Source organism: Homo sapiens, chromosome 7, assembly GCF_000001405.40.
Source record: "Homo sapiens chromosome 7, GRCh38.p14 Primary Assembly".
Lineage (NCBI taxonomy): Eukaryota > Metazoa > Chordata > Mammalia > Primates > Hominidae > Homo > Homo sapiens.
Genome location: NC_000007.14, coordinates 136,389,609 through 136,417,331, shown reverse-complemented (window position 1 = coordinate 136,417,331; position 27,723 = coordinate 136,389,609). Strand labels below are relative to the sequence as shown.

The window sequence follows — 27,723 nt, the reverse complement described above, 5'->3', positions numbered from 1 at the left end:
TATAACACTAAATGCCCACAAGAGAAAGCAGGAAAGATCCAAAATTGACACCCTAACATCACAATTAAAAGAACAAGAAAAGCAAGAGCAAACACATTCAAAAGCTAGCAGAAGGCAAGAAATACCTAAAATCAGAGCAGAACTGAAGGAAATAGAGACACAAAAAACCCTTCAAAAAATCAATGAATCCAGGAGCTGGTTTTTTGAAAGGATCAACAAAATTGATAGACCGCTAGCAAGACTAATAAAGAAAAAAAGAGAGAAGAATCAAATAGACACAATAAAAAATGATAAAGGGGATATCACCAACGATCCCACAGAAATACAAACTACCATCAGAGAATACTACAAACACCTCTACACAAATAAACTAGAAAATCTAGAAGAAATGGATACATTCCTCGACACATACACTCTCCCAAGACTAAACCAGGAAGAAGTTGAATCTCTGAATAGACCAATAACAGGAGCTGAAATTGTGGCAATAATCAATAGTTTACCAACCAAAAAGAGTCCAGGACCAGATGGATTCACAGCCGAATTTTACCAGAGGTACAAGGAGGAACTGGTACCATTCCTTCTGAAACTATTCCAATCAATAGAAAAAGAGGGAATCCTCCCTAACTCATTTTATGAGGCCAGCATCATTCTGATACCAAAGCTGGGCAGAGACACAACCAAAAAAGAGAATTTTAGACCAATATCCTTGATGAACATTGATGCAAAAATCCTCAATAAAATACTGGCAAACCGAATCCAGCAGCACATCAAAAAGCTTATCCACCATGATCAAGTGGGCTTCATCCCTGGGATGCAAGGCTGGTTCAATATATGCAAATCAATAAATGTAATCCAGCATATAAACAGAGCCAAAGACAAAAACCACATGATTATCTCAATAGATGCAGAAAAAGCCTTTGACAAAATTCAACAACCCTTCATGCTAAAAACTCTCAATAAATTAGGTATTGATGGGACGTATTTCAAAATAATAAGAGCTATCTATGGCAAACCCACAGCCAATATCATACTGAATGGGCAAAAACTGGAAGCATTCCCTTTGAAAACTGGCACAAGACAGGGATGCCCTCTCTCACCACTCCTATTCAACATAGTGTTGGAAGTTCTGGCCAGGGCAATCAGGCAGGAGAAGGAAATAAAGGGTATTCAATTAGGAAAAGAGGAAGTCAAATTGTCCCTGTTTGCAGACAACATGATTGTTTATCTAGAAAACCCCATCGTCTCAGCCCAAAATCTCCTTAAGCTGATAAGCAACTTCAGCAAAGTCTCAGGATACAAAATCAATGTACAAAAATCACAAGCATTCTTATACACCAACAACAGACAAACAGAGAGCCAAATCATGAGTGAACTCGCATTCACAATTGCTTCAAAGAGAATAAAATACCTAGGAATCCAACTTACAAGGGATGTGAAGGACCTCTTCAAGGAGAACTACAAACCACTGCTCAAGGAAATAAAAGAGGATACAAACAAATGGAAGAACATTCCATGCTCATGGGTAGGAAGAATCAATATCGTGAAAATGGCCATACTGCCCAAGGTAATTTATAGATTCAATGCCATCCCCATCAAGCTACCAATGACTTTCTTCACAGAATTGGAAAAAACTACTTTAAAGTTCATATGGAACCAAAAAAGAGCCCACATAGCCAAGTCAATCCTAAGCCAAAAGAACAAAGCTGGAGGCATCACACTGCCTGACTTCAAACTATACTACAAGGCTACAGTAACCAAAACAGCATGGTACTGGTACCAAAACAGAGATATAGATCAATGGAACAGAACAGAGCCCTCAGAAATAACACCGCATACCTACAACTATCTGATCTTTGACAAACCTGAGAAAAACAAGCAATGGGGAAAGGATTCCCTATTTAATAAATGGTGCTGGGAAAACTGGCTAGCCATATGTAGAAAGCTGAAACTGGATCCCTTCCTTACACCTTATACAAAAATCAATTCAAGATGGATTAAAGATTTAAACGTTAGACCTAAAACCATAAAAACCCTAGAAGAAAACCTAGGCATTACCATTGAGGACATAGGCGTGGGCAAGGACTTCATGTCCAAAACACCAAAAGCAATGGCAACAAAAGCCAAAATTGACAAATGGGATCTAATTAAACTAAAGAGCTTCTGCACAGCAAAAGAAACTACCATCAGAGTGAACAGGCAACCTACAACATGGGAGAAAATTTTCACAACCTACTCATCTGACAAAGGGCTAATATCCAGAATCTACAATGAACTCAAACAAATTTACAAGAAAAAAACAAACAACCCCAATCAAAAAGTGGGCGAAGGACATGAACAGACACTTCTCAAAAGAAGACATTTATGCAGCCAAAAAACACATGAAAAAATGCTCATCATCACTGGCCATCAGAGAAATGCAAATCAAAACCACTATGAGATATCATCTCACACCAGTTAGAATGGCAATCATTAAAAAGTCAGGAAACAACAGGTGCTGGAGAGGATGTGGAGAAATAGGAATACTTTTACACTGTTGGTGGGACTGTAAACTAGTTCAACCATTGTGGAAGTCAGTGTGGCGATTCCTCAGGGATCTAGAACTAGAAATACCATTTGACCCAGCCATCCCATTACCAGGTATATACCCAAAGGACTAGAAATCATGCTGCTATAAAGACACATGCACACGTATGTTTATTGCGGCATTATTCACAATAGCAAAGACTTGGAACCAACCCAAATGTCCAAGAATGATAGACTGGATTAAGAAAATGTGGCACATATACACCATGGAATACTATGCAGCCATAAAAAATGATGAGTTCATGTCCTTTGTAGGGACATGGATGAAATTGGAAACCATCATTCTCAGTAAACTATTGCAAGAACAAAAAACCAAACACCACATATTCTCACTCATAGGTAGGAATTGAACAATGAGATCACATGGACACAGGAAGGGGAATATCACACTCTGGGGACTGTGGTGGGGTGGGGGTAGGGGGGAGGGATAGCATTGGGAGATATACCTAATGCTAGATGACGAGTTAGTGGGTGCAGCGCACCAGCATGGCACATGTATACATATGTAACTAACCTGCACAATGTGCACATGTACCCTAAAACTTAAAGTATAATAAAAATAAATAAATAAAAAGAGCTAGAGAGGCCAGATCATGCATCTGGCTAGACACATCACCATTGAGAGCCTTGCACTCAGGGTGTGGTTCATGGACCATCAGCGTTGGCACTACCTGAGCTTGCTGAAAGTGTAAAATCTGTTAAACCCGATTTCTGACCTACTGAATCAGGATCTGCATTTTAACAAGTCCAGCTGATTCATAATCTTGTTAAAGTTTAAGAATTTCTCTAAAACATATATTCCAAACTACTAAACCATATTCAACTGAATTAGAGGTTGAGTTACAACTAGGATGCCAGGAACTATGCATAAACCTGTATCCTATTGTATCTATGAAGCAGTCTATTGCCTCATAATTCCTGTGTATGCATAATTCCTGTGTCCCCAGCCTTATACGCTGGGGAAAACACACACTGGTGGGAGTGCGTAAGGCTGGGGAAACTAATTTCCTCTATCTTTAGGGAAAAAAAGTGGTTGAAAATAAGATTCTAGAAAAACTGATCTGCGAAACTGTGACTATTTGCCTGCCACAGGGGATATTTGTGCCTAGGAGGGGTCAGAGTTTCTTGAGACAACCCTGAGGACTTATATCCCATTTTAAGAGAGGATTTTGATTCACAGAGAATCATTAATGGATACTTAGACTATGTACATGAGTTTAATTGGGCAGGATCTGCCACAGCCAGAACCTTTAGAGAACAGGAGACCTGAAGCCATGGGAGCAGGGGGCCTGCCATTCCTGAGAGGGCACTAGGAAAGAAAGATTGCTGGCCCTGTGATGGACATTATGTCTCTAGCAATCAAAGTCCATTCCAGACTCCCTGGGTGGACTTACAAGACACAATTTGTAAGTGTAGTACTAAGTAGGCTATCAGCCTTGGCAATGAGGTCAGTGAGATGGGTGGTCAGCAGGGAGAGTGTGGGGCTCCAACACACCTCAGTTTCCAGGAGGCCCACGAGAGTCTGTCAGAGATTCAAACTCAGCCCACAAGAAACCACCCCAAACTCAGCGTGTGCAGGTGGAAACAGAGAAGCCTGCCCTGGGAGGAGCCAGCATATGACTAAGCTGCACCCCCATGTGTAGGGAGGATTGGCAGATAAGCGTACAGGGGAGAAATGGGGCTGCAACCACTTGAAAGCAAGCTCCCCTTCTTCTCACCTCCCATTAACACTTGCCACACATAGAAATGTGTGAGACAACCTACCTTCTGAGATCAGTAGTCATGCTGAACTGAGAGAAAACACATAACACCTTTACCCCTTTTAGATAACCCCTTGAGGACACCGTGTAGACCGTCATCAGTGAACTTGACCCACACCTCCTCCTTCACCACACCTCCCCCTTCCAGTCCTTACTTCCGGCTAGTTTAGACGTAAAATTAGTGTGAGCATTGAGACCATCCTGGCTAACACGGTGAAACCCCATCTCTACTAAAAATACAAAAAATTAGCTGGGTGTGGTTGCGGGTGCCTGTAGTCCCAGCTACTCGGGAGGCTGAGGCAGGAGAATGGCGTGAACCTGGAAGGCGGAGCTTGCAGTGAGCCGAGATCACACCACTGCACTCCAGCCTGGGCGACAGAGCAAGACTCTGTCTCAAAAAAAAAAAAAAAAAAAAAAAAAAAAAAAAAAAATAGTGTGAGCATTCTTTCCTTGCAGATAGATGTGAAAAAGAACTTAGCCTAGGGTGGTAGTTTAACCGGGAGTCAGGTAGGAGTACCACCCCAATTAGAGGTATTGTTTTTTCCGATAGTATTTACCTCTTTTTTTGTGCACCCTCTCCCAGAGAGACACAGTCTATATATGTGGACATATTACTTTCAATTAGTCTATTGAAGATACCACTTGTCATCCTCATTTGATATCACTTCTTTCTTCAATCAATATCTAGCTCAGGTCAGCACAATTAGAAATTTAAAAGGTAGAAAGAAAAAATATATTTAGATTATCAGTTTCTCTTTACATATTCAAAAGGGCAAAGGCAACTCAATAATTTTAGATCAGTTGTCTATCCAACCAAATTGCTCACAAGGATAAGTTTGGCTGCAGAGCACTGAACTGCTTGAAGCCATGAGTCAGGGACATGAATGAGACAGTCTTGCAAAGAATTCTCACTCTGCACCTCCTTTTCATTCACTTGGATTCTATCCCTTAATATGGACAGATGTCTTACCGTCCCTAACATTCCCAGAATCCTCAGCGAAACAAGTCAAACTCACTACCCCTTGTGTCCAGCAGGAAGCCAAGTAGCATCAACATGATCCAAAGTAATTGAACCAGCAGTGAACTCTTTTTGCAAATCTTCTGCATTTAATCGTAATCTTACACTTGTCTACTCTTTGATTTTGTGATAATCTGTAGAAACACAGTTATGATAGAATAATGGGTAGAGAGTGACAGTCCTTAGTCATAGTCAATTCATTGTTTAACTGAAACAATCACTGACTCCTACAATATCAATTTGATTGAAATATGGGAGGATTTAATTTGTTCTTGGGAGTTATTGAAATAGCCAAGTCATGACATATCTGAGAAAATTATTCCTGTCAGTGTAAAAATAGATTCCAATAAACTGGGCAGTGATCTGCTTGATTATTTGGCCATTGTCCTATTCTTATATCGGAATTAAAATGTAACAACAGAAAAGTTATTTAGGTGTGCCACATAGACAAAGCCTGAATGTATCTGCTACAGACGTGTGTATTTTTTCAATTAACTGGCAAAAGTCTCTACAGAACTACCATTTCACCAGCTTATAAACCATTTTACCATAAGAGATACAGGAGGAGACAGAGACAGATAGAACAGAGAGACTTTACCCAAGCAGTGTTGCCTCACATATGTACAAAGAAAGAAAGAAAGAAAGAGAAAGAAAGGTAGGTTTCATTTAGCAAGGCCCATTTAAAAATATGAAGTGTGCATTATGTTTTTTTATAGAAAATATTGAGAAGTGTCCAGACATTTAATTTTTTTTTTACTCTTTTTGCAATGCACTTTACCTCTATCTGGCATTTTGTGCAGTGTGACCAGGATAGCAATAGTCAAAAGACAATAGGATGTCCACCCAACAAATGAACTAATTGGCAAGTTGTAACCTGCAGTCTTCACTCCCATGTTTCAACCCTGAAAAATATGTGTCGTCATGCCTACCTATGGGGCAATGACCAATTATCGGCCCCCAACAAAACACGAAATAAGAATTATCAAATATAAACATTTATGATGATTTAAAAGTCTCATTAAGTCTACTTTATGCATTCTATTACCTTCATTACTTAAATGTTAATTCTTCAAATGCCAAACACATATGTTATAGTATTATTACTAAAAGATTGTCAATTATGCAAAAGATTATGAGGGTACAAATAATAAAATAATATAAAGGGAATTTAGAGACATTTAAAGATCCAATTAGATAGTCATGTTTATACCTTTTCTTGTTATTTTACAATACCCTCCAAACTTTAATGTTTATATAATTATTTTTATTTCTTCTATTGCCTTTTTGTAACTTTATTTTTTATTTTATTTACTTTATTATTATTATTATTATTATTTACTTTTAAATTCAGTAGTCCAGGTGCAGGTTTGTTACATAGGTAAACTTCTGTCATGGGGGTTTGTTGTACAGATTATTTGTTTAAGACTAGAGCTTTTAAACTGCTTTAAATACTCTTAAATTTCTGAGATTTTAAATCTGTCTAGAAAGAAACATCAATACAATGTCATATGTTAAGCAAAAGATAAAAAACTAGCTAAAAATAATTAAAATTCATGCAGACCTAGCCTTAATTGTCAATGGCCAATAAATATAATAAGTAGAAACAGATGGAAAGAAGTGTGAGTGGCTACCAACATCTGGAAAGACAATGGAAATCTTGCAAGCCAGTTCACCTACTAACTCACAAAACTGTATGATAGATATAGATAGATAGATAGGTAGGTAGGTAGGTAGGTAGATAGATAGATAGATAGATTATAGATAGAAACAAGAATCAGCACAAGGCATTTCAGAACCAATGAAATAATTAATCTGATACTGACATTTGAAAAATAAAAATCTTCCTTATAAAATTACCATGGTCCTAAGGCAAGGGTTTAGCATAGATATTAGGATTCTGTAGGAATTCAAGGTTGGACTGGCAGAAAATGCAAACATGGCAATAGATACAGGCCCATGTTTCCCAGAGCAGGATGCATGTGCCTCAAGCTTCTCTAAATGCTTTCAAACAGCATATGGAGAATAAATAAATAGCATCGATTTACATAGCAACAGTTACTTCCTCTTCAATCAATATGATTAAGTTAAAAATCAAGTATCATCATAGTGCTATTGGGTCCTCAAAAATTCTCTAGCATGTGGTAAACTCCCTTTAGTAAACAAACAACCAAAAATAAACAAACAAAACACATAGGAAGACTTCTACTTGACAAGCATCCAAATACACCTTTTCTTCTTCCTGGGTTGCAAGTCACAAACCAAGGTTTAGGTCACAGTATTTCACCAATAATTCTCCAAAAGCATATGTCTTCCTCTGCTTGGACATGAATAAACACGTTTTAGGGAGTTTCAACACTGAAATGCTTTTTGAATTGACTGACTTACGGAGTTTTCTTGTTTTCTTGGCTTCACACTTGAGCATAAGGATATGCTCAAGATCCTTATCACAGAGAAACATTAGTTTGGGTGTTTTATCACCAATGAGGATGAAAATAAATCCATGGGATATTTAAGTTTCACTAGGCTTGTTTCCTTTCATATTTCTAACTTAGACCAGAGGTTATACAAGGCAGCTGTCCAGCATCCATACCATTAAGGTAGACTTCCCCTCATAATTTTAAGGTAGGATTCCTCTCACTTCTCTCAACTGGAAATGATCTGGATGTCATACCATGGATATGATTACAATGATATATTACCTAATTAGATAGAGCAATATCTCCTGACACCCTATACTTACTTGGAGTTAACATAAAACACTAATATTGTAATTAAAAGAGGCTAATAAATATTTTTTCAAAGGGCATATGAAGAAGGTAATGTTAAAGAAATTGTTTGTATAACTGCTCAACTTTCTGAAGTGCATAAGTGGTTCTTGGCTAAAAATCTCCCCTTAAGAAACTATAATCGATCAGACCACACTAATATGATCCACAATACTACATATACCAGGATAAAGTAAACCAGTACTTCTGCTCATGCTGCCCCTTTCTGAGTGACATTTCTGCCTCTTTCATATTTGAGTCTCTGTCAGTGTAGTATCATCTTCTCCAGGAAGTCGACTTCAGTGGCCACCTGAATCATTAGGATTTCCTTTGCTCTATTCATGTAGTACTTGGCAAGCATTTCTATTATAGCATATAGCAAGTCATGTGCACATTTGTTTACATGTCAGATTCCCTGCCTCCTCTCAGTGTGAGGGGATGGAGGACAAGACTCCATCATCTGTGTATCTCCAACCATAAGAGCTAGCAAGGTACCTGATCTCTGGGAGCTATGGAAGGAATACATGCTGAGTAAATTTGTTACTGAATGACCTCGCAAACTTGGTACAGACTCCTGCTCTTACGTAAAGATAAGAAAAATCCCCTCATCATCTTTTATATATGTTGGTGAAGGGGGTGTGCCTCTGGATATGAGTTTAAAAATATAGCTACATGAATCTCCAAGATGTATTCATGAGGAATCTGAGATGAAATGAAGCCCCAGTTTCCTATACTTTAAAAAAACCCTCCTGCTTTAAATTTTTAGCTGAGAAAGCTATACTATTTACAGGGATTATGCTTCTACTAACAGGCTTGCATTTGTTTTTTAAATAGGACCCTCTATCATTTTCCCTTAGTTAGTTAGTAGCTGTCATGTATAAAATTACCACAAATAAAAGAAGGAGGTGGAATATAAATGTTCAGAGGCAACACAGCATGGTAGGCAGAGGTGAGAAAGGAGGTTGCAAAACACTTGTGTGGTTCCCCAGGGGGAGAGGAATGTAGAGCAAGTCACATCAGGAGCCTAGTGGCTGCTCTGTCCAGAGATATATGTACATTCATGTGTGCATATTATTTTTTTCTTAGAGGTATAATATGTTAGAATCTTTCTGATTATGTACAGGCTTCTGCTACTCATAACTTAAAATATCATGCATCTTGTTGCCGCATGTAGCTATGGCTGGGGCAATTCCTGCAAAACCTTCCTCAGCTTCCAGCCTCTTTTATCATATAGAAATTTAATTTCAGCAAGGAAGAAAGGACAAGCTAGACAGGGAGTCTCCTAGGTGAGGAAGCAAATTAGTGGGAAAGGAAAAGGACATATTCTGGCTCCAAAAATGGAGTTGTTCATCTCCAAAGTGCAATTGAATAGCTATCAGTATGGACAGTGGGGGAGCCAGTAAAGGATTTTAATCAGAAAAGATGCAAGATTGTATTTGCTTCTGGGGAAGGTCCAGAAAACTGCAATACTGGGGACAAACTGGAGGGTGCTGGGCATATCTGGATGAAAAAAGCAAAAGTGATAGGACAGAGTTGAGAGGAATATATTGAGGGGCTATTTAGACAATACTTAGGGAGGAATTAGAGATTTGAAGAAAGAAGGTGTTTAGGTGACTCTCAGATTTGAGCAGCCCCTTATATCATGGAGTCAGTACTTACCGTATTTGACTACTAGTCTAACGAGCCTTCTATCGCATTATATAATGCCTATTCTGACATCTAATTTCAGAATCTCAGATGAATCACCCAGTCCTTCTGTACTTCTTCATCATCAGACAAGAAAGGACAGCAATCTTAAATTATTCTCCCTACTTCCTACCCCCAATCCCATTTCCCAAACTTTTCTCTCTCCTCCAACAAAAGTAAGGTGGGAATCCTTAATCAACATTACTCAATCAACAGAATTAGGTAACCTCAAAACTGTGAGCTCTCCATCTCTGCAAATCCAGGAATGAGGAGGCATGGATCTCTAGGATGCTCACAGGAATTGTGTGCAAGGAGACCTAACTGGCATAAGGATGCAAGATCCCCCCAGTCTTCTCTAGCAGTGGACTGACTGATGTGGTACAATAGTATTTCCTAATGGAAATTAAAATATATGTGAACAATATACTTAATCAAGAATCTCTGATCAGGCTTTATTAACATGAGAGTCAGGCCACCAAAGGATTCTATGGACCAGTGTTAAAAAAAAAAAAATCTGGGTAGGATGGAACCATGCAAACAGGAGACCTGGGTTCTGGGTCAGCCTCTGATTTAGGTGAGCTGGGTAATTAAGGGCAACCCTGCTCTCAAACTTGGTTCTATTGTCTATAAAATAAGGAATTTGGACTCTAACGTCTTTCCCAGGTTTGGTGTTCTGTGCCTCAGGGAATTTCTATAAAATGTTGTTTCATGCTTTCATTTTCATGAACTCTAGCAAATGGGAACTAATGACTCATTCAAAGTAAATTAATTTACCTGGAGTCTGTTAGGGCAACAGAAATAGTATGGTTAAAAAATAGAACTGATATTTTTCTTCCTGCCAACCCAGCAAACATCAGAAACAGGAAAAGGCTTCGCTTAATAGTGAGACACCACGCTCCATGGGGTGTCACAGTTTACAACATACTTCACACGGAAGGCATCGACAAGCAGGGAAAAATACAACTTTTATTTTTTCTACTTGGAATTAAGAGTGTTTTTCATTGCACTCTATGCCCAGGGCTTTAGCGTTTGAATCAGGTGGTACAAAGCTGATGAAAGAGAGCCTGGAGCATTTGATGGCATTGTCTACTTGGGCTCTACAGCAGAACGGCGAATTCTGAGTTCGGCCCTCTAGTGGACACATACTCTTATTGCAAGTTTCTTTTACTAGGAAGCAGAATCACATCTACAACTGCGGGGGATCAATGGGTGAGAGAGAGAGGGACGCCGTTTCACATGATTTGTGTCTGTCACGGTCTGATTCTTAACTGTGACACATATAAAGACCACGAGACGTGGAGCTAAACAGTCCCAAGTCTGAGTGTATCCTAGGTTGGCCATTAGGGAGCTTTGTGGGTCCGGATCAATCTCAGAGTTCCAGTGTTTCCATTATATGAGTGTCTCCCCACGCCGGGCTTTGTTCTTTAAATGGAGTAATGCATCCACATATGCTTTGTGAAATGTAAGTGCTTGCTACCTACCAATTTCTATTATTAGTTACATTCTTAAAATACCTATTAGTTTTTTGAATGCCTAAACCATTTTCTCTCTCTCTCTTTTTTTTTTTTTAACTTTTAAGTTCAGGAGTGCATGTGCAGGTTTGTTATATAGGTAAACTCGTGTCACGGGGATTTGCAGTACAAATTATTTCATCACCCAGGTATTACACCTAGTACCCACAAGTTATTTTCTGTGATCCCTCCCGCTGGATAGTAGACCTTTGTTGGATGCAGTTTGCAAAAATTTTCTCCCATTCTGTAGGTTGTCCGCTTACTCTGTTGATAGTTTCTTTTGCTGTGTAGAAGCTCTTTAGTTTAATTAGATCCCATTTGCCAATTTTGCTTTTGTCCCAATTGCTTTCGGTGTCTTCATCAGAAGTACATGAGGTGATGAATACAATAACTATCCTTATTTGATCATCATACGACATATATCAAGATACCAAGTTGTACCCCATAAATATATACAAATACAATGTGTCCATTAAAATAATCAATTAAAAGTTTTTAAAAATGCAGAAGATAAACTTAAAAAAATCTCTAAATAGGTAAAATTTTATGTATTTGAATAAAAAATTATTCTTCCACATTTCTCCCTTTATCAATCACCTCTCATCCTTATTCAATGTCTTCTCTGAACTCACGATGGCACTATTAAGTGAAAAAAAACTTAGATAAAATTTGAATATTTACTTAAGACTTACCTCATTATTAACTGAAGAGTTAATAAGAGATCTGCAAAGTTCCTGAACTTAAATAAAAACAAAAGTTAATAGTTAATAGTTAAATAACTTAATAAGAAGATAATGCCACCTACCTATAAGAAATCCTCATTAAATATAAAGATAAAAGTAGGTTAGATGTTAACAAATGGAAAAGATAGCTATTTTGATAGTAGTCTTATTTAAGATGAAATTATTTCCCAAAGAGCTTCTCTACAAGTTGCTTAATATCTCTATGGTAAAAGAACCTAACATTTATAATTGACTATTTAAGAGTAATGGGATTATCTAGCCTTTTATCTTTTTATTTTCATTGTCCTATATGTTAACAGTAAATCACCAAAATTATCCTTACTGAGATAAAAACATTATCTCAAACTAATTCAAAAGCAATGAGTAATATGTGTGAAACAGACAAGATTAACTACCTCACTCTAAATATAAACGTACTCGCCTTCTTTCTTCCCAATACTTTCTCCAAGAAGCACACAAACCTTGCTGCACACAGAGAGCAGCTGACTATTATTGCAAAGCATTCCTCTTGTTTCCCCAGATGTGTTTGTGTATCATCTTAGTCTACACAATACACCCTCCCCTTTCCTCTCTTATCACACGTTTTTGAGAACACCTTTTAAATTAAAAAGTATCTTCAGTATTTATGAAATAGAGTGTTATTTTTTCTCTTTGAAACTATGCAATTAATATTCCAGTATAACCAAACAAAGTAGGTGAGCCTTCTGGGTTAGGATCTATGGTAACAGTCAGAAAGAAAAGCCATGCTTAAACTTTAGCAAGGAAAAAGGATGAGGAGGGAGGGCAAGGAGCAGGCAGTGATGCTGGAATGGGAAGGTGGGGTGTAATAATGGGCTGATTTGAGAGTCTGAAACAGAGGGCAGAAGAAAGTGCATTTCGGTGGGAGTGGGAAGAAGAAGTGGTCAGCCCACCCCCTCCAGGAGCCCCATATCCTGGCTTATATGTTCTGATGATACCCTAAACCTCAAGGAGACACTAGAGACTAGAGAACTTCTCTGCTGTGAGCCACACAAAAGTTCTAGCTTCCCAGAGACATTGGATTGCCTTCCTGAAATGCCTATCAGCCAAATCAAGACCCCTTCTACTCTTGCATAACACCATGAACTTTCCTTCATGGCCCTTATGATATTTTAGGTATACATTTATTTCTTTGATTATTTCTTTAATATTTGTATTTTCTAACAGATGATAAGCTTTGTTGCAGGTAAAGTTTTTGCTACTGTACAACAAGTGCCTGGCACTAAATGCTCAGTTAGTGTTTGCCGAATGAAAAAATGAATTATGTGGATGAGAAGGCCACTCTGCACTTCTCCAAGATAACTCTTCAGAAAGACTTGGCTCTTTCTTTCCTGCCTGCTGGCCTCTTATGTGAATAGTAAACCTAGTACAGTCATGTATCACTTAAAAATGGGGATGCGTTCTGAGAAATGCATCGTTGTGTGGACCTCACAGAGTATATTTACACAAACCGAGATGGTACAGCCTGCTCACCCCTAGGCTATTTGGTATAGCCCATTTCTCCTAGCACCTGTACAGCATTATAGCGTACTGAGTACTGTGTATGTATACTGAGTACTGTAGGCAGTTGTAACACATGAAAAGCATTTGTGTATCTAAACATAGAAAAGGTAAAGTAAAAACACAGTATAAAAGAAAAAAATGGTACACTTGTATAGGGCAATTACCATGAATACAGCTTACAGGACTGGAAGCTGCTCTGGGTGAGTGGTGAGTGAGTGGTGAGTGAATGTAAAGGCCTAGGACATTACTGTATGCTAAAGTAGATCTTATAAACACTGTACAAGTAGGCTACACTAAATTTATATAAAAATATTTTTTTTCTATAATAAATTAACCATAGGTTACTGTAATGTTTTTACTTTACAAACTTTTTTTTATTTAGCATTTTGACTCTTTTTTGGTAACAGTTTAAAACACAAATACATTGTACAGGTACACAAATATATTTTTTTCTTTATATCTGTGTTCTATAAGCTTTTTTCTATTTTTAAAATTTTTTTCTTTTCATTATTTTACTTTTAAAACTTTTCTTAAAAATAAGACACAAACACACACATTAGCCTAGGTCTACACGGGGTCAGGATCATCAATATCACCATCTTCCACCTCCACGTCTTGTCCCACTGGAAGGTCTTCAGGGGCAAGAGCATACATGGAGCTGTCAACTCCTATGAAAACAATGCCTTCTTCTGGAATCCCTCCTGAAGGACCCATCTGAGGCTGTTTTACAGTTAACACTTTTTAAATATAAATAGAAAAATACACTGTAAAATGACATTTTAAAATGCAGTATAGTAAATACATAAAGCAGTAAAAGTTGTTTATCAAGGATTATGTATTGCTGTACATGATTGTATTGCTAGACTTTTATATGACTGGCAGCCCAGTAGCTTTGTTTACACCAGCAACGCCACAAACACAAGAGTAACACGTTGCACTATGATGTTAGGACAGCTATAACATCACTATGTGATAGGAATTTTTCAGTTCCCTTATAATCTTAGGGCACCTTGTCACAAATGTGGCCCGTCACTTACTTCAACAGCGTTATGCAGTGCAGGACCATAATTAAGCTGATATAGGCGTAGGATGGTCCCAATTTACACATGATTACACAAAACTCAGAAAGACTCTATGGACAGATGCCCAAAACTGTTAGCCTGGTTAGCATTTCCAAACCTTTCCAAAAGGCAGTCCCCACCAGGCAGGTATGCACATAATCTCACCAGTTTGAGTTATAATCACTCTGGCTGAAAATTACAATGAATTGTCTCAATTGACTGCTTAGAATCTCCTGGGAATCTTTTAAAACTCCCAATCCTAAGAGAGCACCTATGTGAAGTTAAGTGAGAATGTCTTTGGGTATGAACCAGATATCAGCAAATACGTAGTGAAGGTTGAGAACCATTGCTCTATCTCCAACTTTTCCAGTGACCTTCACACCATTCCTTTTTTTCCTTTTGACAGGAGGGATCTCCTGATAAACTAATGAGCACAGAGCCCAAGAAAAAACAGAGTAGAAGCAAGAGAATGGCGAGAGAGAAAACAGTTGGGCTGATGGGCAGCAAACACAACGGATTGTAGTAGTATGAGCAAAAATCTTGTGCACAATAATTTATTATAAAATAGAAGAACAGACTGCTTTGATTTGAATTCTATTGATCATAATAGACAAAATTTAACAGGAAAAAAGCATAGTTCTGTAATTTGGTGAAAAAAATCATCTTACACATATAGGATGAGGGAGAGCTGACTAAATGAACCAACATGGTGAAAATAAAGGAGTGTATTAGCTCAGGCTATAGAATGAGTACTATAGTACTATAGAATGGGTGATTTAATTAACAGAAGTATTTTGCACAGTTCTGGGAGCCAAAAGTCTAAGATCAGGGGGCCCTCATGGTCAATTTTTGATGAGGGCTGTCTTCCTGGTTTGTAGATGGCTACGTTTTTGCTATGTGCTCACACAGTCTTTCTCAGTGTCCTTAAAGAGAAGGAGTTTTGGTGTCTCTTCCTGTTCTTATAAAGGCACCTGCCTTCTCTAATTAGGGACCCACTCTTATGACCTTATTTAATTTTTATCACCTCCTCACAGGCCCTGTCTCCCTATACCATCACATTAAGGGTTAAGGTTTCAACATATGAATTTAGTGGGGAGAGGAACAAAATTCATCCCATAACAAGGTGATTTGGTTGAGACTGGGCAAACTATAAGTCAATGATGACTGCCAACATTTGTTTTTATGTGGATACAAATAAAAATGATAGTGATTATTTATGGAGGTCTACCATGGGGCAGGCACTGTAACACAGTATAATACATAATACATGGACTTTTATATATATGTATATATACATATATATACACATATATGTATATATACATATATATATGTGTGTATATATATATATACTTATTTAATGTATGGGGAGAGACTCATAGGATTGTCCAAAAAAAACCTCTGCAAGGTCACGAGAAGGGGAGTTTTCCATTTCCGGTAAGAGCTGATTGTATCCAAATTAACCTGCCATGTTACCAGCGTCCCATGTCCTCCAATAACCTGAAATTAATTTCTCAGAAAGTCACCAGGTACCATCAGCTAGGGCTCAGACAACTCTTTGCAGTTGGTGTCTAAACCCTGGTAATTGCCTGAGCTCTAGCTCGTATTTGCATTTGAAGAAGGTAGATGAGGAGGCAGGATCCCTCTCTGGGAACGCAAACCTGCCTATATCCTGCAACTTTTTCCAAATCTGTGCAGGTGTCCCCATGATATAGGACAGTGTGCCACTTCTGGATGAACTTTGGGTGGTCCATTTCCTCAAAAAATCCTCTTTCCCAAGCAAGTCTATTTTTAAATCCTATGCTTCTCAAATGTTTATGGACATATAAAATACCTGGAAGGTATTTCTGGAGGATTTCTGTAAAATGCAGATTCTAATTCAATCTGTTTGCAGGGTGCCTAAGCTTCTGCAACTTTTAAAAGCTCTAGGCGATGCCACTGCTGCTGAAACACGGGCCATGCTTTGAGTAATAAGTATGTTTTGAATAACATACTTTGAGATATGGTGATGTACTTGCCTTCTCTATCTTCCTATCACTCCTTTGATCCTGACAGCCATCTTCTGAGGATTCTTGTTTCTAATCCTAGCCATCATTTTGTGTATTAGAAAAATTAATGCCAAAAGAGACGATGGAATCATAGAATAAGAGACAGATACAAAAGTTTCAGTTATGTCTTTTGGAAAAGAGACAATGTACCTCTTTCTTCTTTCTCTCCCTTTACAGTTTCAGTGATATTATTTTGAAGAATTATAACTCACTTTATGATTATCCAAGCTATTTACTTTTGCACCAACCTATTAGCTCTGGGAAAACATGGAGAAAGATTCTGCATTTCGATATGAGCCACAACTCACCAATCAATTAACTGTCTTTCTTGGACCTAATTAGCTATAAGTTAGTGGGTGGCAGCTAGAACTGACTTCAGAAACAGTTAAGAAGCCACCAGTTGGGTAACGTTGGAAAATTTTATTTTCCTTTATTTTGATTTTTCTTAAACCCATGACACCTAGGACATAGAAGAATGAATAAAAGATTGAATAAATGTATTGATAAGTAAATGAGATTCTTGTGTTAGGCCCAAAGGTTCAATGGGTTATTCTTCTCTAGAAAAACCAGGAGATGATTAATCAGATAGATACATAGATAGATAGATAGATAGATAGATAGATAGATAGATAGATGACATATACACATACAAATGTATATATACATATATGAGTGTTTTTTACTGTTCAGTATCATATATTTTTATTTAAATTTATATATAATGTGTACAACAGACATATGCATGTATCATACAAAATAAGCATAAAGAAGCAAATACTTTTATGCTTTATGCATGTCCTTCAAATGAACTAATCAGCATCACTTCAAAATGATACCAAAACCACGTGATTCAAAAAAGAGATAAATTAAACTCATGAGCTGGTCTGTATTCTGCCCATTTAAAATAATTTACATGAGTTTCAAAGTGATATTGTAACCAGGTTCACTTCACTGAACCTATTTGCATATCTATCTGAATGCAAAGCACAGAAAGAAAGTGAATTGCTGTTTAGCTTTCTTCCCTGGAGTTCTCTGCATGATTCACCTCTTGCTGATGGGCATACCAAAGCCCCTAGGGAAGCATTTACAAAACGGGCTTACAAATTTGTTTATGTGTAATACCCTCTTCACCAAAACAACAAAAATCACCATGATCGTGCAACTAAAGCAACTCCTTCCATTAAATCTGCTGTTCCTACTCATTTTCCACTCTATTCTTATTTTGTACAGTTTTAATTTGAAATTATTATTCTATTTAACCCCTTAAAAGTTATTTTACATGTGTAACAAGACATCAACTGTTCATTAAGTACCTCTTCTAAGCTTGGCTCTATATGAGGCACTGGGTAGAACCAGATACAAGTTTTAATGAGTCATTTTCTCATTATTATAAGAATAAAATATATAAATATTAAAATTCTAAATAATATTAGAGGATATTATATTGATTCAGTTCACCCTCATTTCCAGCTCCAATGCTTCTAAGAGTTTTAGTCATTTGTAATTATTTCTTCTGTATCCCTCCAGGATACATTTATGTGCATGTGGCTGAGCTTCTGTAGTATACCCTTAAGTTATATGCATCTGTCTTTCTATATTTTCCAAGTAAACTTAATCTTCCAAAACAAACAAATATAACTTCTACACTTTTGGTGTTATCCTCAAAATAGTAAATAACATAGATTCTTGAATATCAGTGCCTGGCAATGTATTTGTTAACTCATCAGACCTTCATATCCTATTCCCGTGAACCCATTCTGGTTTGGGTATTTAACTCTGTGTATGACTTTTTCTCTCAACTCCTACTACATTAATCAAACTGTAATTTAAACATCTGAATCAACTTACTTATTTCTGAAATATTGGGCTCCTTTTAAAAAGGATTACTCTGCAATTTCTCTATTTTATAATTCTACTGTGTTTTACTGGCTTTACTTGAAAGAAAGGCATTTGATATACAGGTCTATTCGATATTTCACCAATCACACTGTCAGTTACTGTAGGCTTATATAGGAAGTCTTGAATTCAGTTAATGTGAGTTTTCCATTTTGTCGTTGTTTACTAATATGGTTTTGGCTATTCGAAGACTTTTCATTTTCATAAACATTTTAGAATCATCTTGTTAATTTCTATGTAAAATCCTCCAGGGATTTTTACTGAGATTGCAAAAAATCTATAAATTTGGGGAAATTAAAATAAAAATAATATTGAGTTTCCTGACTCATTAACATCATTTTATATCTCCATTTATGTACATCTTCTTTAATTTCTCTCAATAACACTTTTTAGTTTATAATGTAGAGGTTGTATACATATTTTTGATATTTTATCTCCCAGGTTTTCATATTTCTATGTTATTGTAAGTGGCACTGAATTGTGTAATACTATTTTCCAATTATTCATCAGTAGTATATAAAATACAGTTGGATTTTGACTTTGTTTTGCTATTTTGCTAAGCTAACTTGTTGGTTCTAGTAGATATTGTACAATCTTTAGGATTTTGTACATAAATAATTATGTTTCCTATGAATAAAGACAGTTTCATTTCCTTTCCAATATGTATAATTCTTTTTTATCTTACTTTATTATACTGGTAGAATCTCTATAAAAATGTTGAATGGAAGTGGTAAGAGCAAACATCCTTCCCCTTTTCCTGATCTTAGGAATAAAACATTCAATTCTTTATTAAGTAATATTAGCTGTAGATTTTTTCATAGATGCCCTTTATCAGTTTTAGGAAATTCTCTCCTATTTGTTTTTTGTTTGTTTGTTTGTTTTTCGTTTTGAGACTAAGTCTTGCTCTGTCACTCAGGCTGGAGTGCAGTGGTGCGATCTCAGCTCACTGCAACCTTTGCCTCCTGGGTTCAAGCGATTCTCCTGCCTCAGCCTCCTGAATAGCTGGGACTACAGGCAGGTGCCACCATGCCAGGCTAATTGTTTTTGTATTTTTAGTAGAGACGGGGTTTCACTATGTTGGCCAGGCTGGTCTTGAACTCCTGACCTCATGATCTGCCTGCCGCGGCCTCCCAACGTGCGGGGATTACAGGCATGAGCCACCATGCCCAGCCTCCTATTTCTGTTTTTTTGGAGGGTTTTATTATGAGTGAATGTTGAATTTTGTCTCATGCTATTTCTGTACCTATTTAGATAATCATATACTTTTTTCTTTTTTAAGTATGATATTATGATGAATTACATAACATGATTCTTACATGTTCATAAAAGCCTGCATTCTTTGTAATTATTTTCTTATCATTTCCATCTTTCTCTTTGTCTCAGTTTAATTTGTTCTGCTTTTTCAAGCTCCTGCACAGTGAATCTTAGTTATTTTAGACTTTTATTCTTTTCTAATATAAGCATTTAGTACTGTAAATTTCTCTCCAAGCACTTCAGCTTTATCCTATAAATATTTTTTTTGATATATTTGGTTTTCATTTTCATCTGATCAAAACATCTTTTTATTTTCTTTCTGATACCTTATTTGATCCATGGGTTATTTAAAAGTATATGGTTATACTGCAATTGCCTAGGAATTTTCTATTTATCTGTCTGTTGATTTTTAGTCTTATTCCATTGTGTTCAGAAAACTTTGTCTGATTTCAATTATTTTAAATGTACTGAGTCTCAATTTTTGCCACAGTTTATGATCTTGATAAACTTTCCAAGTGTACTTTCAAATAATGTGTGTTTGTCTGCTGTTTAGTGAAGTTTTCTGTAAATATCCATTAGATCAGGTTGGCTTTTGTTTACTGGTTCTATCAAATACTAAAATGATAACGGTTGAAATCTGTAACTCTAATTATGGATTTTTATATTTCTTTTTTCAGTTCTACTTCTGGCTTACAGATTTTTGAAGGTAGTTTATTAGATGCATGCATCTTAAGTCTGTTTATGTTCTCCTGATGATTTTACCCTTTTATCATCATGAAATAATCCTCTTTGAGTCATTCATATTGCTTGGTTTGGAATGTACTTAGTCTGATATTAATATAGTTACTTCAGCTTCCGCTCATGATTGTTTTAATAGTATATATTTTCCATTCTTTTACTTTTAACTTATTTGAGCCTTTAATAAAGTGTTTCTTTTAAACAAAATTATGTCCTGCTTTTTTATGCAATCTGAAAATCTCTGCCTTTTATTCTGAGTGTTTACTTCATTTACTTCTTATTTAACAACTTTATTAAATATAATTTAGATACAATACATTAACCAATTTGAAATGTACAATTCAATGAGTTTTCATAAACTCACGAGGTTCCATAATCCAGTTTTCAAATGTTTACATCACATAAAATCCTTTATGCCCATTTACAATTAATTCTTATTTCTATGCCCAGACCAAGACAACCACCAATATACTTCTGTCCTTATAGATTCTTCTTTTCTAAGGATTTCAAATAAATTGAAACCTATGTGTATTTTGTGTGGTGGTCTCCCTTCCTTCCTTCCTTCCTTCCTTCCTTCCTTCCTTCCTTCCTTCCCTCTCCTCCTCCTCCCTTCTTCCTTCCTTCCTGCCTGCCTGCCTTCCTTTCCTCCTCCTCCTCCTCCTCCTCCCTTCTTCCTTCCTGTCCGCTTGCCTTCCTTTCCTCCTCCTCCTCCTCCTCCTTCTTCACTTAGCTTAATGGTTTTGAAGTTCATCCATGATAAAGCACGTATCAATATTCATTCTTTCTCTTTTTTACTAGTATCCCACTTCATTGATATGCCACATTTGCTTAACCATGTACCAGTTAATGGATGTGTTGGGCCATTTAGATGTAACTATTGTAATATAAACACTCAATTTCAAGTCTCTGTGTAGACATAGATTTTCATTTATCTTGGATGTACTTAGGAGTGGTATTGCTTTGTCTTCTTCTAAAGTGTATTAAACTTTTTTAAAAAAAAAAACTGCTAAATCGTCTTCCAAAGTGGCTGTTTTTACATTCACACCAGCAATTTAGAGTCACATTTCTCTAAATTCTCATCAATATTTGGTATTGTTAGTCTTTGTAATGAAACTCATTCTGGTGAGTATGAAATGGTATATCATTGTGATTTATTTATTTTTTCTAGAGACAGGGTCTTGCTGTGTCATCCAGACTGGAGTGCAGTGGTGTGATCATATCTCACAGCAGCCTTAAACTCCTGGGCTCAAGTGATCCTCCCACCTCAGCCTCCCAAGTAGCTGGGACTACTTGGGAATATCTTCTTTGGAACGTGACACCACACCTAGCTAATTAAAAAAAAAATATTGGTAGAGACAGGGTCTTGCCATCTTGTCCAGTTTGTTCTGGAACTCCTGGACTCAAGCGATCCTCCAGCCTCAGCCTCTCAAAGTTTTAGAATTACAGGTATGAGCCACCTCAGCAGCCTCCTTGTGATTTTAATTTGCATTTCCCTAATGACTAATGTTGTCAGTAATCTTCTCGTATGCTTATTAGCCATATCTTCATTGGTAAAGTCTCTATTTAAATCTTTGTCCATTTTGTCAGTTGGGTTGTCTTCTTATAATTGCATTGTAGGAATTTCCATTTACTTTTAATATCATTATTAATGTAATTGAGTCTGAATCTACTTTCTTGGGATGTTTCTTTTGTTTGCCTCTTTTGTTCTTCCTTACTTTTTTTCTATTCTGCCTTTCATTGCACTGCATTTTCTTTTCTTTTTTATTGAGACGGAGTCTCGCTCTGTCACCCAGGCTGGAGTACAATGGCGCTATCTGGGCTCACTGCAACCTCCACCTCCTGGGTTCAAGCAATTCTCCTGCCTCTTGAGTAGCTTGGATTACAGGTGGCCGCCACCACGCCCAGCTAATTTTTGTATTTTTAGTAGAGAAGGGGCCACGCTGTGGCCAGTATTTTGGCCACGCTGGTCTCAAAGTCCTGACCTCGGGTGATTCGCCTGCCTCAGCTTCCCAAAGTGCTGGGATTACAGGCATGAGCCACTGCGCCTGGCCGCGTTCTCTTAAATTCTATCCTATCTCCACCAGTGGTATACTATCTATAACTCTGTTTTATTTTTATGTGATTGTTCCAGAGTTTAAATCCTATCTGATTACATTTTAACTTTAAATAATATTAGATCACTTCATATATAGTACAAGAACGCTACACCAGTCTAGTTCCATTTTCCCCTCCCAGCCTTTGTGCTATTGTTGTCACACATTTTGCATCTATAAACACCCAATATATAGCTATTTTTATTTTTCTGTAAGCAGTCAACTACCTTTTAAATAAATTAAAAATGAAATAAAATCTCTTCTATGTTTGCCTACATATTTATTATTTCTAGTGACTGCTATCCCTTTATGTACATTCATATTTCCATTCAGTATCATTTTGTTTTCTACCTGAAAACAAAAGGAAGAGCTTCCTTTAACATTTCTTGATATGCTGGCCTACTAATGATAAATTCTCTCAGCTTTGTGTACCTGAAAAAGTCTTTTGCTTTTTAATTAGAAAAAAATCATTAGTGTTGCAATGAAGAACAGGAAAATAAATGAACTATACAAGAAATAAAATACTGAATTGAGATAGAATTCTAGGTTGACAAATATTTTTAAATTTTAGTACTTTAAGAATGTCACTCTTTTGTCTTATAGCTTACATCATTTTTAATAATTCTATTGTTACTATTTTTGTTAACTTTTAAAATGTTCTCTTTATACTTAATTATTAACAATTTGCTTACAATGTACCTTGATACGGCTTTCTATATTTCCTCTACTTGAGGTTCACTGACTTTCTTGGATTTGTGGGTTTATTGTTTTCAGCAAATTTGAAATATTTCTAAATGATGATTTTTTTTTTCTGCTTCCTCCCTCCACTTTCTTATGTCCTTCTGGGATATTAATTGTACTTATATTATACTCAATGCTTATTATTTTCCCACAGCTCATTGAGACTATTTTCTTTTTTTTTTAACCATTCTTTATTTGTGCTTCACTCTGGGCTGTATCATTTGCTATGCCATCAAGTTCAATGATATTTTTTGTAGAATCTAATCCGCTATTAATCCCATCTGATAGTGTTTTTTTTTTCATTTCATATACTATACTTTTATTTCTGAAAGTCCTATTTTGTCTTTTGTAAAATATCCATTCTATTTTCAAGATGTTCAATTTTTCTCTATTACATAGCATATTTTAAATCACTGTGTTTTTTTTTATCCTTGTTGAATAACACCATCAACTCTGGCATTTGGGGTGTGTTTTTATTGATTCTTTTTCCTGGTCATTTGTCATATCATCATTCATCTTTGCATGCCTGGTAATTTTTTATTGTTTACCAAACATTGTGAAAATTATGTTTCTTGTATGCTGCTGGGTTTTTCTGCATTTTAAAAAATATGGTTTGACTTTATTCTGGCCATGCAGTTAACTTACTTGTGAGTCAATTTGATCCTTTATGTCATGCTTTTACATTTTACTAGGGCAAATCTAGAGCTGCCTATGTAATATAGCCCAACTACTAAAACCCTTCTGAAAATTCTGCTAGAAGTCCTATGTATTAGAAGATCTTTCCACTCTGATTACTGGAGACCTGAATTGTTCCCAGACTTATAATAGCTCCAGGAATTATCCAGCTTACAGATTTCTTGTGACGATGTCCCTGGGCTTGGATGGTTTCCTCATACGCATGTGCAGCTCTGTATTCAGCCAGAAGGAAACCCTTCTAGAGATATCCAGAGGGCCCACTCTCTCTCTCTGTCTCTCTCCACCTCTTTTATCTCTGGTATTCTGCCCCAAATTTTAGCCATTGTGGCTTCCTCAAACTTTGTTCTCTAGTTCACTGACTTAGGAAGAATACAAAGTTGTTTGAATTCCCTCTCCATGCACTCTGGCCTAGAAATTGCTTCCAAGATAATAGTTATTGGAATCGCCTGGTTTGTTTTTCTTCTCTCAAGGATTCCAGTCCTATGCTGACTGCTGTCCAATGTCTAATCTTTGGATTTTGGCGTATTTTGTCTGGTTTTCTTGTTTAAAGATGTAGATTAAATCTGGTCCCTAGCTAGAAACTGAAATCCTCTGTTTCATCTCTTTAATTTTTCTTTGCTGATAGATTTTTAAATGCCAGACCTCCTTGTATTTTATTTTAACATGTTTCATGTGCATCTTCTTTAAAAATGTCTACATTTTCTTACATAATCACAATTTCATTTTTATGCTACAAAAATTAACAATAATTCTTCGGTTTATCTACCACTTAGCCATAAGCAAATTACTCCAGTTTTGTTCAAAATGTCTGTTTATAATTGAGTTGTTTGAATCAGGATCCAAACGAGATTTACACAATTTACTTTGTCATCTTTTCTTTCTTCTTTTTCCACTAGTCATTGACTTGTTTGAAAAAAAAATTTCCATATCCTGGGTGCATCTATTTTCTTTCCTGTGACAGTATTTAGCTTATTTATCTAAATGAAAGTTAGCTCTAGAGGTTTGATTAGATAAGGTATATTTATAAATGTTTCATATGTATTATTTTATTTTCTGAAGTATATGTACTTTACATTGTATCACATCACAAGGCACATAATATCTGATTGTCTTATTTTTATTATACTAACATTAATCAATTGCTTTAGATTGTGACAGTATAATTCTACCATGATATATTTTCCCATCTACCATCTATTTTGTGGATTCATCCATTGATAACCACTGCATGAATTAATTCTTCCATTATGAGTTACACAGTGACAATTTTCTAGTTCTATTATTTCTTTCACATTTATTAGCTGTAATTCTGCAGGTAACTTTCTTTTGTTAGCTAGATTTGGTGTCTCTGACATATAGTTCATAGAGGAAGATCTCAATACATTTTTAAGTTTTTCTCTTTAATTGCTAATTTTCAGAGTAAGGATTTACTCCCTTCTTCACTTTCAGTGATGTCTAATGAAATGAGTATGCAAAAACAGTATTAACAAAGCAGATCTGAGACTGCATATCTTTACAAAGTGCTGCTTAAAAGATCGGCTTTTGGCTGGCATCTGGGAACTTAGAAGTCAGAAGGACTCCTAACAATGCCAGAACTGATAAGGGTGGCTCATTGTACGTAAATTTGTTTGTCGAAACAATGTGGTTTGTGCTGAATACCTGCCTTCCTGTGCCTGGAATTTTGGTGCATGCTAGGCAGATCGTTCCTATGTGACCAGCCTCCAATTAAAACCTTGGGCACTGAGTCTCTAACAAGGTTCCCTGACAGACAACTCTTCACGTTTTGTTATACCTCATTGTGGGGAGCACTAAACGCACTGTGTGTGACTCCACAGAGAAAGAGCTCCTGGAAACTTGAGCTTGGTTTCCCCTGGACTTTACTGCATGTGCCTTTTCCTGCTTATTTTGCTTTGTATTCTTTGACTGTAATCAATTTTAGTCATGATTACACTACATGCTGAATCTTGTAAGTACTCCTAGTGAATCATTGAACATGGGAATGGTCTTGGGGAGTCCTCACACAGTGAACTTGTTTGGATTTGTGGCTTTTTTGTCATTTTTTCCTCTTAGTATTGTTATAATTAATAGGCTTTAATATAATAAACATGTTTCAATAAGTTTTTTTCATTATTCTTTTTTGAAGCAAAATTGTCTCAACTTTGGCAAATAGTAGCTCTTTCATGTTTTTTCTCTTGATGCAACACAGTCATAGTTATCTTACTTTCAGGCACAATATGGCCCAGGCTAATCTTGAAAACATTCTATCCCAGATCTGAAATAAGCCATTCCTGCAAGTAAATAATACTGAAAACAATATTTAAGCTGCAATCTGAGCACTAAGTATGCTCTTGTTAATTAATGGTTATTAATATTTTCATCCTTTTAAGTGGACAGAGCTAGGAAATATACGAGTTGTGAAATGAAAAAAAAAAGAGTCCACCTGATAATCTCAATTAAAATTGTATACTATGAGATTTCTACTTATTTGATTTTCTACTTCTATCTCTCTTCTATTACATTGAAAATTGTGATTACTGATGTTAAAATAATTACATATTTATATCCTACAATAGATATAAGAGTTTTGAAATAATACCAATGTTGTTACTAACAACGAAAAAACGGAATAATTTAGTTGCAAAATGTGTTTGCAACTATATTCATCCTTAGAATACATCACACTAAATATATATAGTCAAAATATTGTTTCTAAATCAACCAGATATAATTTTTTCTCTCTGCAGTAATGTCATCAACTTAATATGTAGTTAAGTTCATTTATTTTAGTTTTGAATTTGTAGGAATTACTCTACTGTATCTTTTTTATTTAATTTTTAAAATGTAAAGCTTTCATTAGTTTCAAATGTCAATGTTATTTCACAAGGTATTTTCACAGAAATCTTGCTTTTATACCTGTTTTCTTTGCTGAATGTTTTATTATATAAATATACATACATATACACAAGCGGCTATATATTATATATACCCTTCTGAATCTTACTTTTTTTACTTGCTAATACATCCTGGAAGTTACTCCATATCAGCTTATAATAGAGAGCTTCCTCATTCCTTTTTACAGTGACACGGCATTCCATTGTGTGAATGGATTACTTTGTATTCAACAAGAACTTATTAATGGGCATCTGGAATGTTTCTAAGCTTTTTGCTTAAAACATCATTTTTAATGTGTAAGTTATACGAATGTAATACAAGTGATTTAGCTAACCTCATACTTGCAAATATTTATTTCCCATATTTTATCATTACAATAAAAAATACTCTAGAGGGAATCTTTTCACAAAAATCCATAAATAAATCCTGAATTATTTTCTTAGAACAAACTTCTGGAAGTGGAATTTCTGGGTCAAAATCTTTGAACTTATTTAATGTTTTATGCCCATTGGTTTGAAGCCTATTTAGACAGCTCTGACATATAGTAATCCTGATACTAATTCCCAATTTGATCATTCAGTAACATAATTCTGTCATCCTAAATATAGAGTTTTTTCTAATCTAAAACTTATAGACATCAAAAAGTTGAATTTAAAATAGTAATAGAAACTATTTTAATATATGAATATATTCTCCACTACGGGAATACCTGCGACA

General features: G+C 36.0%; 1 long non-coding RNA gene across 7 annotated transcripts in view, besides 2 other annotated features; it reads right to left on the bottom strand.

Moving 5' to 3' along the window:
• LOC105375523 (uncharacterized) overlaps positions 1-27,723 on the bottom strand; it is a 459,019-nt gene that overhangs the window by 22,634 nt on the left and 408,662 nt on the right. For 3 of the 7 annotated variants that reach the window (NR_187960.1, NR_187964.1, NR_187956.1), the window contains one exon: positions 12,016-12,062. The exons of the other annotated variants lie outside the window; for them this stretch is intronic. This is a non-coding gene — a long non-coding RNA (uncharacterized LOC105375523). The remainder of the gene's footprint in view (positions 1-12,015; positions 12,063-27,723) is intronic. 7 annotated transcript variants of the gene reach the window in all.
• Positions 17,460-18,126: an enhancer, noted in NCBI's record as "OCT4-NANOG hESC enhancer chr7:136083954-136084620 (GRCh37/hg19 assembly coordinates)". NCBI's record gives its function as "activates a minimal SCP1, AML or CMV promoter by ChIP-STARR-seq in naive H9 embryonic stem cells {active_cell/tissue: H9 hESC(naive)}" and the evidence as "EXISTENCE:reporter gene assay evidence [ECO:0000049][PMID:30033119]".
• Positions 21,865-22,065: a silencer, noted in NCBI's record as "peak6760 fragment used in MPRA reporter construct". NCBI's record gives its function as "represses an SCP1 promoter by STARR-seq MPRAs in K562 erythroleukemia cells {active_cell/tissue: K562}" and the evidence as "EXISTENCE:reporter gene assay evidence [ECO:0000049][PMID:32103011]".